This window comes from Homo sapiens, chromosome 10 (genome assembly GCF_000001405.40).
Source record: "Homo sapiens chromosome 10, GRCh38.p14 Primary Assembly".
Classification (NCBI taxonomy): Eukaryota; Metazoa; Chordata; class Mammalia; order Primates; family Hominidae; genus Homo; species Homo sapiens.
The window spans coordinates 67,539,148-67,555,458 of record NC_000010.11 but is presented as its reverse complement, the minus strand read 5'-3'; the positions used below and the strand labels follow the sequence as shown (position 1 = coordinate 67,555,458).

Sequence of the window (16,311 nt, the reverse complement as noted above, 5' to 3'; positions counted from 1 at the left end):
CTTCAAGGAGAACTACAAACCACTGCTCAACGAAATAAAAGAGGACTCAAACAAATGGAAGAACATTCCATGCTCATGGATAGGAAGAATCAATATCGTGAAAATGGCCATACTGCCCAAGGTAATTTATAGATTCAATGCCATCTGCATCAAGCTACCAATGACTTTCTTCACAGAATTGGAAAAAAACTACTTAAAGTTCATATGGAACCAAAAAAGAGCCCGCATTGCCAAGACAATCCTAAGCCAAAAGAACAAAGCTGGAGGCATCACACTACCAGACTTCAAACTGAACTACAAGACTACATAACCAAAACAGCATGGTACTGGTACCAAAACAGAGATATCAACCAATGAAACAGAACAGAGCCCTCAGAAATAATACCGCACATGTACAATATTCTGATCTTTGACAAACCTGACAAAAACAAGAAATAGGGAAAGGATTCCCTATTCAATAAATGGTGCTGGGAAAACTGGCTAGCCATATGTAGAAAGCTGAAACTGGATCCCTTCCTTACACCTTATACAAAAATTAATTCCAGATGGATTAAAGACTTAAATGTCAGACCTAAAACGATAAAAACCCTAGAAGAAAACCTAGGCAACACCATTCAGGACATAGGCATGCGCAAGGACTTCATGTCTAAAACACCAAAAGCAATGGCAACAAAAGCCAAAATTGACAAATGGGATCTAATTAAACTGAAGAGCTTCTGCACAGCAAAAGAAACTACCATCAGAGTGAACAGGCAACGTATAGAATGGGAGAAAATTTTTGCAATCTACCCATCTGACAAAAGGCTAATATACAGAATCTACAAAGAACTTAAACAAATTTACAAGAAAAAAATCAACCCCATCAAACAGTAAGTGAAGGATATGAATAGACACTTCTCAAAAGAAGACATTTATGCAGCCAACAGACACATGAAAAAATGCTCACAATCACTGGCCATCAGAGAAATGCAAATCAAAACCACAATGAGATACCATCTCACACCACTTAGAATGGCGATCATTAGAAAGTCAGGAAACAACAGGTGCTGGAGAGGATGTGGAGAAATAGGAACACTTTTACACTGTTGGGACTGTAAACTAGTTCAACCATTGTGGAAGACAGTGTGGCAATTCCTCAAGGATGTAGAACCAGAAACACTGTTTGATCCAGTGATCCCATTACTGGGTATATATCCAAAGTATTATAAATCATGCTGCTACAAAGACACATGCACACGTATGTTTATTGTGGCACTATTCACAATAGCAAAGACTTGAAACCAACCCAAATGTCCAACAATGATAGACTGGATTAAGAAAATGTGACACATATACCCCATGGAATACTATGCAGCCATAAAAAAGGATGGGTTGATGTCCTTTGTAGGGACATGGATGAAGCTGGAAACCATCATTCTGAGCAAAGTATCACAAGGACAGAAAACCAAACACTGTATGTTCTCACTCATAGGTGGTCATTGAACAATGGGAACACTTGGACACAGGGTGGGGAACACCACACACTGGGGCCTGTCGTGGGGTTGGGGGAACGGGGAGGGATAGCATTAGGAGATATACCTAATGTAAATGATGAGTTAATGGGTGCAGCACACCAACATGGCACATGTATACATACGTAACAAACCTGCACATTATGCACATGTACCCTAGAACTTAAAGTATAATTAAAAAAAAAAGAAAAGAAAAAAAGATGACTGGTCATTTGACCCTCAAAATATAATTCATTTCTATTGTATTCTTGAATGTGAGAAGAAAATTCTTTTTCTTTTTTTGTATATCTCTTCCATCCATTGTGTAAGTGATGACTGCAGTTTAATTCCCAGAGAATAATCTTATTTCCCGTATTTTTAAATGCCATTCCTCAAATGCTGCTAATAAGTAAAATGCAGGTTTCTTAATGTCCAGATTACTATTATTTCTCCCACACTAATAGGAGACGCTTTGGGCTAAAGACTCTCTCAGTTAATTAGTAACATTTTAAGAGGACTTTAAAATGTTTAGATTTCGATAGTGACTCAAGATGTTTTTCCAGGATCACAGCTTATGAACTCATTTCTAATAAAAGAAGCATTTAGAAAGAATGACTTGACTTCAAAGTACCAGTTAGTATGTATAAACCTAGGTAAAATGAATTAAATTTTGTACATAATATATTATTATTAAATATAGATTTAAGGGGTATAGTTACAAACGATTTTTAGGAGCTAGTGTGTCTAAGTGCCTGAGGGTCTATTATGGAGAGAAAGGAGTTGTTGAACTTTATTGAAGAGCATGTTCTTTACAGCAAAACTGTTTTTATCACACACACATTCCATACTAAATTCCTGCTCAAATTGAAATCACAGTTGAAAGACAAAACTAAAAGGTGCACCAGTGCCCCCAAATCAGTGAAAATTTAAGATCACAGAACAAGAGAAGTTTCTGGCAATGAAAGAGATTGGGTGGTAAAAAAACGGGGTTAAAAAAGGGCCAAAGAAAAAAATTGATGAAGAATCCACTCAAAATAGTATTGCATCCATTAATGACAGACTGGATGAAGAAAATGTGGTACATATACATCATGGAATACTATGCAGCCATAAAAAGAAATGAGATCATGTCCTTTGCAGGGACATGAATGGAATTGGAAGTCCTTATCCTCAGCAAACTAATGCAGGAACAGAAAACCAAACACTGCATGTTCTCACATATAAGTGGGAGCTGAGTGATGAGAACACATGGGCACAAGGCGGGAACAACACACACTGGGTCCTGTCAGGGGTTGGGTTGGGGAGGGAGAGCATCAGGAATAATTGATAATGGGTGCTGGGCTTAATACTTAGGTGATGGGATGATCTATGCAGCAAACCACCATGGTACACATTTACCTGACTGTCCTGGCCTGCCACTCCCCAGTCCTGTGCCTATAAAAACCCCCGAGACTCTAGCAGGCAGACACACAAGTGGCTGGATGTGGAGACAAACACATCTTGGTGGAGGAATACACAAGCAGCTGAACATTGAGAGGGCGTCGATGTACAGGTAACAAACCTGTACATCCTGCACATGTACCCCTGAACTTAAAAGTTGAAGAAAAAAAATAGTATTGCATGAAAATCATATAATCATTATTCCAAGTTGGCTCAAGGATTTGGCTGGTTCAGGTCTAACCTCTAACAACGAAAAAAAACCTATAAGAAACTATAAAATAAGGAATGATTGTACTTAAATATGCATGGACCTGTAATATCAAATGCATCCTTGAATTGTCGTATTGTATTCTTGAATGTGCGTTGTTATCCTTTTCTGTGTGCTAGCACATTATATGAGATAATACTTCTCATTTTTCTTTGCTTTTGGACACTAGCGGCTATCAATGAGATCTCCTGTTTTATCTTCCTCATCAAATATTCAGTCTATACTGATAACCCAAAAGAAAGAATTAGCAACTCTTATTTTCCCTTACTTGCTTCACCGTTTCCTCCTTCTATTCCAAAATTTTTCATTGCTCCTTTTTTTACCCAATATTTTTGACCTCTTCTTTCCTCTTTAGTCTATGGCATTTACCCAGTTTAATAAATACCAGTTTCAAACATCCCTGAGGGAGGCATTTGGAAGTGAGAGTTTCTATTGATAGTCCACTGGTTATGGACAGTTGAACCCCTAAAATAGTGTGATTGATAGTGAAACGGGAAAAGTTCCCTTGTCCTCCTCAGGGGGTGTGTGATGGGAGTGTGGCTCGCTTCTTCAGTGCCCCGCTGCTCACATCTCTAGGGGAGCATACAGACGGGCAGGCTGTGGGGCTCCAACCCCACAACAGTGTCTAGGGGCGAATGTTTACAGCTCTGAAGCCCCAGTGGGCATGTGTTACAGGGTGCTCTTTTAGTTTAGCCATCCGTAGACGGCTTGCGTTAGCTCAATGAGACCCCTGCCTTATCTCAAGGACAGGGCTTTTTGTATCCTGGGGTTCTTGCCTTGGTGTACCAGAAGAATTGGATCACACATGGGCTTGGAGAATGAGTTCAAGCTTTTATTGAGTGGAAGTAGCTCTCAGCAGGTGGGGGAGACAGAAAGGAGATGGTTTCCCCTAGAAAACTGCCTGACTCTTCTCCGACTGCCCAGTAAAACTCCACGTCGTTCCACCGGTCGATGGCCTGCGGGTCTGCTCTTGATGTCCTCTTCACGTCCAGCCACTTGTGTCTTCTTCCACCGATCTCCTCCTCTCGACGCCCTCTCAATGTTCAGCTGCTTGTGTATTCCTCCACCAAGATGTGTTTCTCTCCACGTGCAGCCGCTTGTGTGTCTGCCTGCCAGAGTCTCGGGAGTTTTTACAGGCACAGGACTGGGGAGTGGCAGGCCAGGACAGTCCTGGGAAATGCAACATTTGGGTGCAAAGTCAGGAGTGCCTGTCCTCACCTAGGTCTGTGGGCACAGGCCTGGAGGTGGAGCCCTCGCCAGGAACCACACCCTCCTCTACCCAGCTCTTCTCTGCCTCCTTTCCCTGTCAATAGCAAGCTGAGATTTATGATAGACTGAGACACGAAAGTTTGCTGAAGCTCCATGGGAAATTCTTCTGTAAGTTTCATGGGAGTAGCCTTGATTTTGACGTGATAAATCTTCACACTAAAATATATAAAATATGAACACAGCAGTGAGGATACTTTTGCCTTTTAAAAACTCCATGTTTATTTAGTATGTTTCTCTGAGAACTAAAGGCTTTCACCTATTTTCTTTATTTCACCTATTTCTTTATTCTATGAATAAAGAAATTTCTTTATTCTACGGTAAAGAAATTTCTTTATTCTTTAATAAAAGAATTTCTTTATTCTTTAAATAAAGAATTCTTAATTTAAATAATTTATTCTTTAAAAAAAGAATTTCTTTATTCTTTAAATAATTTCTTTATTCTTTCTTCATTTCACCTTTATTTCTTTATTTCACCTATTTTCTTTATTCTATGTGTTTCCATAATCTTTGTGTTTGCATAATAAGGATATTGATACCAAAAAATTATGTGACTTGCTCAGGATTTCATTGAAAGGTAGCGAACAAGGTAGATGAGCTGGCTGTTGACTCCTGCAGTATAGTTTTTCACTATTATGCTTTGGGGTGAGGAGAAAATTCATACCTCCTTTTGATATTACACTGGGAGCATTATTTAGAGCTGGCTGAGTATTCTTCGGGGAACTATTTAACTGAGGCATATGGGAAATTCCTGAGATGCTAATATTATTAGATATATGAATACTGAAGCTGAAAGACTGCTGGGTCAAATTTTATTCTTTTAAGGGATAAACTCAACTTTATGTTGTCTGGGATTTTCAGGCAAGGTCCATGTATTCAGCTTAAGATATGAAAGCCAACTAAATAATTTTTGAAAAAGAATTTTTAGGGCCACATTTATATATATCAAAATGGAGACCCTTGTTAGTTGTATGAACTTTTTAAAAATGAAGTGCTTTTTAAAAAAACAGATTATGAATTTTATTAGTTCATTTATCTCAGATGAGGGATCAGCAAACATTCTCTGTGAAAGGCCAGAAAGTAAATATTTCAGGCTTTGTGGGCCGTACATTGTTGCAAGTATTTAACTCTGTGTGTTGAAGAATGAAAATAGCTATAGAAATATGTAAGCAATAAACAAAAAGTTATGGTTGTGTTCCAATAAAGCTTTATTTATGTATACTGAAATTTACATTTTATATAATTTTTCATGTCATAAAATATTATTCTTTTGATTTTTTCCCAACCTTTAAAAATATAAAAAACATTCATAGCTTGTAGGCTGCACATAAACAGGGCAGGCTGGATTTGGCTTGTTTCCATAGTTTGCCGACTCTGTCTGAAGTAAAGGAACTAAGAATACAAGGAATTTCAAAAATATTTGACCTCTTACTTGTTAAGAATCTCAAGTTTCTCAGACTGAATGTATCATTGGTGGGAAAAGTAAAAAGAAAGGACAATTAAAGCTACTGTTAATTTTTGTGCAAAAGACAACTAATATTTATAGCTCAGAGTTTGCTTTTAGCTACAAAATGAGCTCTATGGGGTCTCCAGGGATTTCCGAGAGAGATGCATTCTGCTCATGGTTTTGGGGCAGCATGGTGAACAAGATCGACACCCTCTACCCCCACCCTTTTAATGATCTTGATATTCCCCCCAAGGAGAGAAGTTAGCTGCAATGTATGTAAATGTTACTTTTCTACTGCTTCATTATAATAATTACTCACTAGTTTTTACAGTTATTAAAGTGACAGTTTCCAGTACATATACATACACATTGATTTTTTTTTGGTCCCCTCTGCAGGTATGTTTTTAGCCTTGTGTTTTTGACTACACAAGAAATGTGCCTATTTTTAAATAATAAAAAAAACTTATTCAAAGGTCCTTACTAAAACCTCTGTACATCTTTAATTATGCTTTAATAATTTAGATTATATTTATGATAGAATGTCATTTTATGTGCTTATTGACCATTTGTATTTTTTCTTTGGAGAAATGTCTATTTAGACTCTTCGCCTATTTTAAAAACAGGATTGTCTTTTTATTATTAAGTAGTAAGTTTTTTTTTAATAGATTCTGGATATAAGCCCCTTATTGGATATAGGGTTTACAAACATTTTCTTCCATTCTGTGTGTTGTCTTTTTACCTTCTTAATGATTTTTTTTTTGGAGTCCAAAAGGTTTAAGTTTTGATTGTCCAGTTCATCAATTTTTTTTATTGCTTGTACTTTTGGTGTTATATATAAGACATTGTTGCCTAACTCAAGATTATAAAGTTGTATTCCTGTTTTCTTTTTCTAAGAGTTTTATAGTTTTAGCTCTTGCAAGTAGGTCTATGATCTACCATAAACGTAAAGGTTTATTTCTGAGATAGCAATTCTATTGGTTATTATAGCTTCCTAGTAAGTTTTGAAATTGGGAAGTGTGATTTCTATAACTTTGCCCCTCTTTTTCAAGATTGTTTTGGCTATTCTGGGTCCCTTGCATTTCTGTATGAATTTTAGGATCAGCTGGTGAATTTCTTTGAAAGAGCCAGTAAGGATTTTGTTAAAAGTGTTAGTCCATTTTTGCATTGCTATAAAGGAACACCTGAGACTGGGTAATTTATAAAGAAAAGAGATTTAATTGGCTTATGGTTCTGCAGATTGTACATGGAGCATAGCACCAGCATCTGCTTCTGGTGAGGGCCTCAGGAAGCTTCCAATCATGGTGGAAGGCAAAGGGGGAGCTAGCATTGTCACATGACGAGAGTGGGAGCAAGAGGAGTGCGAGGTCCCAGACTCTTTTAAACAACTAGATCTCATGGGAACTGAGCAAGAACTCACTTGTTATCATGAGGACAGCACCAAGACATTCATAAGGGATGCACCCTCATGACCCAAACACCTCCCACTGGGTCCCACCTCCAACACTGGGGATTACATTTCAACATGAGATTTGGCGGGGATAAACATCTAAGCGATATCAGTCAGGGATTATTGTGAATCTGTGGACCGATATGGGGAGTATTGCTATCTTAACAATATTAAGTCTTCTAATCCATGAGCATGAGATATGATCATTTATTTAGGTCTTCTTTAATTTGTCAGCAATGTTTTGCAGTTTTCAGTGTACAAGTCTTACACTTCTTTGTTAAATTTATTCCTAAATGTTTTATTTGTTGGATGCTCTTGTGAATGGAATGTATTTACTTTTGTAATGGTTCAGAATCCTGGATGTTTATCTTCACTAAATTTTTATGCTCCTTTGGGTTTCACTCTGTACTTTCAGTATGTACAGTTGGCCACATTGACTTCCTTGCAAGTTTTGTGTGAGCTTGTGAACTAAGACTTTATAATGGGGCCCTAAAATAACTTCTGTCATTTCTGCATAAGGAGCATATCAATAGGGCCAAATTTGACCTTACTGATTAACAGCTGTAGTACTCTGAATGGGGTGATATATGAAAGAATAAATTTGTTAAATATTTATTGCTCTGATCACAGCTGTGGGACTTGAATTTCTAGTAAGGTGAAGCCTGAATTCTACTTTATTACTTAACCTCTTGATGAATAGAACTTTGTTGAGGCTGATTATAAGTGATAATTGATAACTGGTAATTTTATTTTAAAATGATTGAGTGATCCTTTGATGTAGTCACTCTCGTTTTTCATTTTTTCTCAGAGAACTTTTAAATCATACATAAAATATTGAAATCTAGGAATTGTGCATATGAAGAATTATTATACTTGTATTTTTTGGGGGGGAGGTGCTATGGAATTATGTCTTAATATACTTTAAGGTAGGTGTATCTGAAGATGCTGACATTTAAAACCAAACAGAAGAATCTTCTCATTGAAGTGGTTCATTTTCCTATTTGAGGGTACCTGGTGGAGACCATGTTATAATCGTTGTTGTATACCCCATAGTGCTTTGCGTATTTTAGTGCTGAATAGTTGATATATGAATGAATGAACTGTTTGTAAGGGTTAGGTATCATTTATTAAAAATTAACTTTCAACTTCAAAGCACTAGAATGAGATTCTTTTAGCAGATGTCAAAAAAGCAAAGATATCAGTTTTTGCCAATTCATCATAGTATAATTTAAGTGTATTCATGGCTAAGCTTACTACATTTAGCCATAAAAGGAAATATTAGAAAAAATGATAAATTAACTTTAGTCGGAAATCTTAGTTATAAGGTTTATTTTTTCACCTCAAAAGAATTAAATTTACATCAAGAATAATATAAAAGTGTTTATTGGTGGGTGGCATATCAGTCAATAGGTTGTTGGGAAAGAAATTCAATAGAGAATAATTATGGGCAGCTATTTCAGCTCAAAGTTTAAACATTTATTTAAGTTATAAATCCATACTATTTTCTTTTTATTGACTGGTTTACAATATGGATTGCTTTGTTCCTTTGTCAGTTTGTTTTACTGTAAACCACTTTAGGTATATGAAACTTCTAACCCCAGGAGATGATAATAATGTTGCAGGAATATATTTTGTGTATTTTATTATCTTAAAATTATTGTCAAATTTAGCTCAGTGGGGTGGGTCATGGCTATAATCCCAGCATTTTGAGAGGCCGAAGAGGGAGGATCACTTGAGGCCAGGAGTTCTAGACCAGCTTGGGCAACAAAAAGAGACCCTATCTCTATAAGAGATACAAAAAATTAATTGGGTTTGGTGATGCATACCTGTAGTCTCAGCTCCTTGGAAGGCTGAGGCAGGAGGATTGCTTGATCCCAGGAGTTTGAGACTGCAGTGAGCTAAGATTACCCCTGTACTCCAGCCTAGGTGACAAAGTGAGAGCCTGCATAGAAAAAAAAATTGTCAAATTTAAATATGACATGAAATTACTTGGTCAATTTTTTGAAAATTAAAAAATTTCATTTTTCTTTGAAATTCTGAAGAGATGTTTAGCTCTATTTTAAAATCTTCCTTAATATTGAAATTTATTTAGGTGCATAGTTTATAGATACATTGTACAAAATATTTTGCTCATAAAAAGATATTAATAAAGTTTTAAGTTAGGAGTTGTGTACTTTTACATACAAGTACATAATTAAAGTTTGACTAAATGTGACTGAAAGTTATTTCCAGTGTTTTAAAATATAGCAGATAATTTTTGCTTCAAGATATATTTGTTCTCATTATTAGAAGTAAAAAGTTCATTAGTTCATTAGTTGTACACACACAAACGCATAACTTATATAGTCGTTTTGACCGAAACCACAACCAAACTATATTGACTAAAATTTCCAGTTTTGGTGTCTTCATGGAAGAAAACTTAATGACACTTGCGAAGCTACCTAACTGCAGAATCTTTCTTGATCTTTTATAATCCTTTTCCTTGCCTTGCCCTGCTCCAACTTTTACCATTTTTTCCTTCCATACCCAACTTAACAACTCATCTTTACTGAATGTCTCTAAAGCATTAAAAATTAGTTTTTAAAGAATTAATAGATATTTTTACACTTATATTTGATAGGTTTATATAGTTAATAAAACTATATAATTATAATTACAACTCACATGAAAAGATTGGGGAGCAAGCCTTTTCAACTTCTTGATTAACTTCAATTATTGGAAGCAGAAGGTCTTCAGTATATTTTACATACCGGAAAGGAGATACCATTAATATGTTGCTGAGAGGAATAAAAAGTTTATTAATCTAGAGAGGTGGTTAAGAGGAGGTCTTTTAAGACAGCTTCTACTATATCCTATCTATGATGTTGGGAGATGTTTCTATTACTTTTATAGAAACTAGCCCCATCAAATTTTATGTTTTATAAAACATTTTATATAATTTTACCAACATGGCACATATATACATATGTAACAAACCTGCACGTTGTGCACGTGTACCCTAGAACTTAAAGTATAATAATAAAAAAACACAGATTAGTTATGAAAAAATTTTTTTTAATAGAATCAGCCCAATCAAAGTATTTCCCAGCTTATTTTGAGAGTTCCCAATGGTGCAGCGCTCAGTGACTGGCTGCTCATGTCCTTCCATTTTCATTAAATCATTATGCTAGTCTGCTGTTGCCTTTACCTGGCTATCTCTCTTCTCTGATGCATGAATGCTGCTGGTCTTGAAATTGGGAATTCTGTTTTCTCTGAATTGCTTTGTTAGAAGGCACTAGGGCAATGTTCAGTCTAAGGCTAATTCTTCCCCACTATTGAGGCAAGACTCTTCTTTGTATTCTATCCAATGTCCCATGAGTTATGAAGTTTTCCAGTCTGGTGGTTGGACAAGCATTATTCCCAGTCCTGTGTGAGTGGCAAGTACAGTTACCTCAAATCCTTTTGGGTGGTTCTTTCCCTAGCCTTGGGTGGTTTCCTCCAGTATACTGGTTGATCAGTATTCAGCTGAATACTCAAGAGGGAGCATGTGCAGATTATCAGTGTTCTTTCTCTGTGTATCTCTTCCCTTTATCATTCTCTATTCTGTTTTATACATTTACTGCCTTGATCTCCCAGGACTCTCAGCTTTGTCTCCCCAGCTCAGAGAGTTTGCCAGGCTCTGCCTTGGTTTCCCCTTCCTGTATCATTGCCTGGAAAGTCTCTCATGGTGGTAAGCTGGGGCTATCAAAGGGCTCATCCTGTTTTTTTTGGTCCATTTCTCAGGGATTACTGTCCTTCACTGCCTAACATCCAGTGCCTTATAACCATTTTTGCATTTATTTGGTCTATTTTTTTGTTTCAGGTAGGAAAGGAATCTGGTCTCTGTTATTCTCCCTTGACTGGAAGCAAATTATAACTTTTAATAAGACTTTACTGAGTTCGAAGATAATAAAATGGAAATAAGACATAGCCAATAGTTTACAATAGCAACCATATGCAGCCACATTCCTAGTCTATAACCCTGCCGTAGCACCCAACCTTGGGTCCACACAGCAGTGGCTAGCTTTGCTGCCCTTCCACCTGCCATGATAAGGTTTTCTTTTATCATACAAAACATGTTTGCTCCTAGTAGTCAAACTGTCTTGAACATTTTAAAGGGGAGTCTTTACTATTTTTTTTTAACATCTGTGTAAGTTTAGGATCGAATTGAGGTCATCCTCCTCTCTTCCCTGCCAAATAAAATAATTGTCTGCTAAAAAGTTAAATTCAAGCTTCTACCTCTTCAGAGTTTTCAAATTCAAAATGGCAGTTTCCCAACCAAAAACAAATAAAACCAAACCCTGAATGTTGAGTCTCAGTCTGTGAACCCTATTATATATTGAATCAATGAATATGTACTAATGCATGTTATATGTGTATGATATAAACCTTTTACCATGATGTATTTGTATCACTTGGACAGATGCATATATTAGAAATCTTAATTGAATAATAAACATAATGTCAAGTAAAAGTTTGGGAAGTTTTTTATCTTTAGTACCTGCCCCTTTTCATTTTGGTTATTCTCTTTTTCCTCTGGATATTTTTCTTATACTATGTTTTCCTTGACTTTTAAGTTTATAATCAATATAAGCACTTTTAGAAAGTAGAATTATACTTTTAAATGAAGCAAAGGAACTTGTAAAATAACCATATAGGAAGCTTTATAAAATAAAGAATATTTGGTAATATGTGTATTTGGCCAACAATTTTTTTGTACTTCTGGAGTTTATTTATTTGATCATATAAAAAGTTTATCAGCCAGATTTTTGTATATTCAGAAATTGTCATCTCTTACACTTATATAGGTGTGTAAAAGTTATCTCTATAGATATTTGTAGACTATATACTCTAGTACCTAGGCATTTCATAACTGATTTTTTTTAACGATTAAAAAAAATCCCGTTTTTAGGAAAGGAACTAAATGGACTCAGTAGAAAGAAGTTTTCTAAACCTAGTTCTTCTGGCATTTTCAAGACCTTTAGTAAATTATTTTTATGTATAGAGTGGGATTTCTTGAAGAAAAAATGTAGTTATTTTTATTTGTATGTATTTTAAAAGTGAAATTTCCTATTCAGCAAACTTCAAAGTAAAAGCATTATAAGCAAGATTGGGAATGATATTTCAAAAGAGTAGACTCTCCACATGTAGACTTTATAAAACATAGATGCTAATATTCTAGATGGAAAGGAAACCTGTACCTTTTTTTCTATTTAATTAGGAAAATAACCATTTTCTCCTGTCAGAAATCAATATGACAGTGAACTGGCTAAATTCTATAAACCAGCTGTCGTTGTCAATACCTTATCAATAGTTGGAACATGTTTCTTTTACCTAGAACATTCCTTTGTATATCTTCTGACACCTCAGGCAGAGGTAGATCCTCCTCTGTGTCTCTTAGTACTTTGTACAGGCCTGTACCAGAAACCTGTATCAGTGTTTGTTGACTTTCACTTGATCTGAACTTCTTGGGCTGCAAAAATACTGTTTCATACTGATATCTATATCCTGGATACCTAGGATACAGCTGTTTTATAGAGGGAACAACAAATGTTTATCAAAGAAAAGTTGAATAATGTTCATTCATATATTCATTTGGCAGTAGATAGTCAATGTATTGAATATCTGCAACAGAGTAGGCACTCTTCTAGATCCTGGAAATGCTGTGGTGACCAGGGCCAATGCAGCTCTTGCACTTACTAGTTTTATGATCCAGAAGAAAAGACAGGTTTTGATACAATTTGTTATAATAAATTATGATGAAGGTTATGCTAGAAAACATAGAATCTTATTGTAAGACCTATCTTGGTAATGGGGGGTCCAAGCTTCCCATAGGAAGTGATGTTTAACTTAGGACCAGAGTGTGGGCTGAAACCAGCTGAAAAGGGTTAGGAATATTGGGGAAATTAGGGATAAGTCCAGCAATAAGAATTTAAGTTGTAGCATCTTTATTAATGTATTTTGGGAGTGACTTTTCTCTTCCCAACAGAGCTACCTGACTGGCTGTTTATATTCCTTTAACAAAGACAAGAATATACTAATTGTTTAAATGATCTCTTTCTGAATATGGCTCTCCAGCCAGTTGTTCAACATTCCAACATTTTTAGAGTCAAAAATACATAATTTTTTGATATATATTTAGTTTTAGTATGTGAAGTCAAAGACAGTATTCTAAAAAGGCTATTATAACTTTCCAACTCAGAATCACAAAAAGAAAAAATTAATCTTTTTTGTGGGCATTCATCTGCTCTCTAAATTCTGGAAGTCAGTTTAACTTTTCACAGTCTCATAGCAGCAATTCTGACTTGCAGAGAAGCAGATGAAAATCACCCACTTATTGGCATTAAAAATTTACCATCTCTATTAGAAATTTCCTCCAAAATAACAGTTAATCTTTGTTGAGTGCTTTCCATGTTTAAATACTGTGCTAAATATATGAATGCTGTCATCTAAGCATCCAAGAAACACTATGAGATAAGTCATATTTTTACCCCTTTCCTATAGATAAGGACATTGAAGGCATTTACTGTCCAAGTTCCCAGAACTAGAGGGGGAATATATGAATTTGATCTCAGAAGTGTCTAGAGTCCTAGTTCCTAACTTGGTATTGCTAAAGAGATCTAAATGAGACATACTAACATGTTGAGACAGTCTCAGACCCTCCTCACAAGTTTTGTCTATTATAAGAAACAGTATTCTTTATTTTATTTAATAAAATAACTGACTCAGTTTTCTTTATGTTAAGGTTCATGAGTCAATGAAACTAAAATATTTATGGATGTAATCCATAAATGGATAAGACAGACCCTTTTGTATATTTTTGATGGGATGACTGTATTTTGGAGAATTTTGGGGCAATATATAACAAAACTTAAAATTCATTTGCCCCTTGACTCAGGAATTCTACTTTTAGGAATTTATCCTAAAGCTAAACTTGTTCATGCATGTAAAGATATATGTCCTGGACGTTCTTTATAGTATTATATAAAATAGGAAAAAGTTGGAAATGACTTATGTGTTCAATAGGGGCCTGGTAAAATAAGTTACAGTGTATCAATGAAATATAACTTATGTACTCTTATTTAATACTCATAAAATAGTAGGTTTATTATTTTATATTATTAAAAAAAGAAGAAAACGAAGAGTAATGATGTTAAGTGACTTGATTGAGATACTAGGACAGAGACATTGAAGCAGTCTGGCTCCAGAGTACACACTGTTAATTACTGTGCTATATTGCCTCCTGGTCATCTGTTTCCCAGTATGAAAGGAAAATAAATTGAAAAGCAAAAAGAAGAAATTACAGAAAATCTCTCTAGTAGGATACTACTTGCTAAAGGCTCTATATTTTTACATTTTCTTCTTATAACATATAAAATATGTTTTCTTATAAAATCTGTCTTTATAAAACATATTTGTATATATGAATGTATATGAATATATTCATAAAACACATACATGTATAAAACATACATATACATTTATGTATATAAAACATGTATCTATATATGCTTATACACATAAATCATACATTCATGGAAAAATTTCTGGACAGATATGCAAGAGCTGAATAGTTGGTGCTTTGGGGGATTAGTTTGGAGACTTTTAAAATTTTTACTTGATGTTCTTTAGTGTGGTAAATTATTTAAAAGTAATGGACACGTATTATAGTACTTTTATAATAAAAAGAAGTTTAGATTTAAAAACTTAAAAAATAGTGGATGTGGTAATTATCAATTATGTTGTTGGATGGGAGTAAAGAGAGTTTTTTATTAAATATTTTCATTTTATACCCTTTTGAACTGGGAACTTAAAACAATGAAAGAATACATATTTCTTTTATAATAAAATATATTTTAAATGAAAAGGCATTAAAAATAGTGGACACAATATTCTCTAACAATTAGGTACTATGAAGTACTATTTCTGTGACTAAATTTAGGATATAGTTTATTCATTATATTGATAGTTTAGAATAAATTTGCCTATGTTAAACTTTTATCAGAGAGCTGCAGTCCTAACATCCATTGATTTGGAAAGTAACTCAATAAAGATTTACCTTGTTTTTATAAGCAGGATTGTTTATGATTGAAGCTTTAGTAATAAAACCTTTTACAAGAAATGAGATTCAGCAAATGCAGAAGTTGGCAGCAATTTTACTAGATGTTCCTAGTCAGTTGAGCACAACTTTCTTGCAGGAAAATGATATTATGCTTCTTAATTCCAAAATATTTGTGAAAAACAAATGTTAATTTGAAACTGCATTGTTTATTGAGAGAGAAAATTGTCAACTGACAATATTTTTATATTATGCTTAGTCTTGGAATTTACTTGGAATTAGGTTAGCTGATAAATCCTGAAATAGGCATAGTTGAAACTTAAAGTATAACTTATATGGGGTTGTATTTTTCAGGTGAAGCTCTGAAAGTATCAGCTGAGAGATTTACAGATGACCCCTGTTTTCTCCCAAAAAGGGAGGCTGTGGTTCAAGCTGCCCGTGCCTTGCTGGCTGCGGTGACGAGACTCCTTATCCTTGCGGACATGATTGATGTCATGTGCCTCTTGCAACATGTGTCAGCTGTAAGTAAAAGATGGCTTAGTTTACCTTGGCATTGTCTTCACTTCTAATTTCATTCTCTGAACCTGGCGTCGATCCTAGTGCATCTTGGCTTCACTCTCATTTCTTAACATCACCCCTTCAGAAGCAGACTAGACTGGGTTGTGAAGACTAATGTATACCTCAAAATAAGGAAGCCAGAGTAGTTCTAAAGCCAATGGGAAATTAAACAGGAGATGGCTTGCTTATAAGGAAATGGCTAGGAAAAGTTCTAGACTTTTGATCATTTAAATAACTATGCTCTCTATAAATAAATAAATAACATAATTATATAGATAATATATGATAAACATATGAGTATAAATAACTTGAGAAATA

At 34.9% G+C, this 16,311-nt stretch overlaps 1 protein-coding gene across 7 annotated transcripts in view; it reads left to right on the top strand.

Moving 5' to 3' along the window:
- The window catches only part of CTNNA3 (catenin alpha 3), a 1,851,072-nt gene that overhangs the window by 208,136 nt on the left and 1,626,625 nt on the right, over positions 1-16,311 (top strand). For all 7 annotated transcript variants that reach the window (XM_047425124.1, NM_013266.4, XM_017016152.2 and 4 more), the window contains one exon: positions 15,790-15,956. In XM_047425124.1, the coding sequence (XP_047281080.1) occupies positions 15,790-15,956 (167 nt within the window). The remainder of the gene's footprint in view (positions 1-15,789; positions 15,957-16,311) is intronic.